Here is a 2,909-nt window from a genome sequence, read left to right on the forward strand (position 1 = left end):
AAGTTAAGAATCTTAAGATGAGATCATTCTGGATTACCAAGTGGACCCTACATCCAATGACAAGTGTCTTTGTAAGGGACAGAAGAAGGGAAGACACGGACACACAGATGAGAGAGCCATGTGAAGACGGAGGCAGAGATTGGAGGGATGCAGCCACAGTGAATGCCAACAGACACCAGAAACTGGAAGAGGCAAGGAACCGGGGAGCCTTGGGAGGGAGTGAGGTCGCGCCACGCCAACACCTTGACTTTAGACTTCTGGTCGCCAGAGCTCAATCTGCATTTCTGACAAGTTCCCGGGTGATGCTAGTGCTGCTGATTTGGGAACCACATTTTGAGAATCACTATTGTTGTTACCGGAGAGGGGGTTCTGATCCAGACCCCAAGAGAGGGTTCTTGGATTTTGCACAAGAAATAATTCAGGGTGAGTCCGTAAAGTGAAAGCAAGTTTATTAAGAAAGTAGAGAAAAAAAGAATGCTTACTCCATAGACACAGCAGCCCTGAAGGCTGGTGGTTGCCCACTTTTATGGTTATTTCTTGATGATATGCTAAACAAGGGGTGGATTATTCATGCCTCCCCTTTTTGGACCACACAGGGTAACCTGTTGTTGCCATGGCATTTGTAAACTGTCATGGCGCTGGTGGGAGTGTAGCAGCGAGGACTACCAGAGGTCACTCTTGTCACCATCTTGGTTATGGTGGGTTTTATCCGGCTTCTTTACTGCAACCTGTTTTATTAGCAAGGTCTTTATGACCTGTATCTATGCCAACCACCTGTCTTATCCTGTAACTAAGAATGCCTTAACCTCCTGGGAATGCAGCCCAGTAGATCTCAGCCTCATTTTACCCAGCCCCTATTCAAAATGGAGTTGGACAGGTTCAAACGACTCTGACATTGTGAACCTATGGTTTTCAACACTTTATATTAGAATAACCTGGAATGCTTTTAAAACATCTAGACATTCTGATTTTTAATTGGTCTGTGGTGGTGTCTAGGGATCAGTATTTGAAAAAACTCCTCAGGTTGTTCCAATTTATATCTGGCAAAAACTACAACTTTAGACTTGACATGTACTTAAAAAGTTCTCCAAAGTAGCTTGCAATACGAAAATGGGCATTTCTGTGAGACACCCAAAGAAATGGTATGAAATCATTCACAAAGAGTTATGATTACTAAAAATCATTAAGAATTTTAATGATTATTAAGAATCTTTATTTTTGAGAGGTCAGGAATGAGAACATCCCATTTTTAGATGATTTCCTTTTAAAATTGTAATAGGATCTTGGTGTTATAGTTTATTCTGAGGATGCTGGTCAAAGGATGTGCTACCATTTGTGGTTAGCACATTATATGACAAATGATTTGGTATGATTCTCCTCTGCAATAGGTTCTGAGTAATATCCCTAACATGATGTCATGTGGGATTCTATGGTGTTAGAAATGCACACCTTAGAGAGTGGGACTTAGAGCTTAAACATAAAAGACATAAAAGATGACACTGCCAATGAGGCAGAATCAGCACATAAAGGAGTCGAAGGCACAGGTTTTGCATGACAGGCTAGGACTGGAATGCTAGCACTGTCCATTTCTGAGTATGACCTGTGAAAACTTGCTGACAGTTTAAAAGCAATAGTTTCATGATGTGTAAAATGGATCGTCATGGTTAAATGACATTCCTTAATGTTTTAGTTTTCAATATATTCTATTGATTTTCTACTAGCATAGTTGAGATTTTATCTCTTATATACTCCCACATCACCAGTGCTTTCTCTGACCCCATGCAAACATCTACTACATTATACATTTTTGGTGAAATCAGTATTCACCATTTACGTTCTTTTAATTATGTATGTATTGTTCACAGCATTATCATAAAATGTAATACATTTCTTTTATAACTTTTTGTTTTTGCTGGAGTTAGTAGTTGCTAGGATCCTCCCCCCACCACCAATATATTTGGTTTTCCATGTACCTGTCAACTCTTTCCCAAGTACTCTGACAGAATTGTACATGTCCTTTTTGTATAGCCATACTTGATCTATTAGTCCTCCCCTTTACTCTTCCCCATGGAAACAACTCTGTTCCAGAGCCTTTTATCTTACTAATCCAGTCTGGATTGGCTGATCTCTAGGCTTTTGCATAGCTGCCATTGAGGAACCAATTCTCATCCAAATTCCCCTCACCTCTTCTGTGTTTCATTCCTTCTTTTGAAACTCATGACTTCTTGGTTTACTTCCTTCTTGTGGTGGAATTTACCTTACAATAACTTTTTGGGAAACAATGCTTGGAAGACAATTTTGGGGTAACCTGTATTCTAAAAATGTTTTTATTTTTATTTTACCTTTTGTTTGATAATATAGACGGGACAGAATTGTATGTTAGAAATAAGTTTTCTTCAAAATTTTGATGATACTTTCTATTCCTTTCTCCTTTATTTTTGCTCTTTAAAAGTCTGATGACTTTGGTTGGGTGTGGTGGCTCACACCTGTAATCCCAGCACTTTGGGAGGCCGAGGCGGGTGGATCACCTGAGGTCGGGAGTTTGAGATCAGCCTGACCAACATGGAGAAACCCCTGTCTCTACTAAAAATACAAAATTAGCCGGGAGTGGTAGTACATGCCTGTAATCCCAGATACTCGGGAGACTGGGGCAGGAGAATCGCTTGGACCCAGGAGGTGGAGGTTGCGGTGAGCTGAGATTGTGCCATTGTACTCCAGCCTGGGCAACAAGAGCGGAAACTCCATCTCAAAAAAAAAAAAAAAAAGTCTGATGACTTTTTATTCCTGAATCTTTATACATGGTCTCTTTTTTCTTCTATTTAAACTTTTAGGATTTTCTTTTTATCCCTGGTGTGCTGAAATTTTATGGTGACATGCCTTGGTCATTTTTGGGTACTTGGGTGGGGCTT

Source organism: Homo sapiens, chromosome 9 (assembly GCF_000001405.40).
Source record: "Homo sapiens chromosome 9, GRCh38.p14 Primary Assembly".
In the NCBI taxonomy this organism is placed as follows: Eukaryota; Metazoa; Chordata; class Mammalia; order Primates; family Hominidae; genus Homo; species Homo sapiens.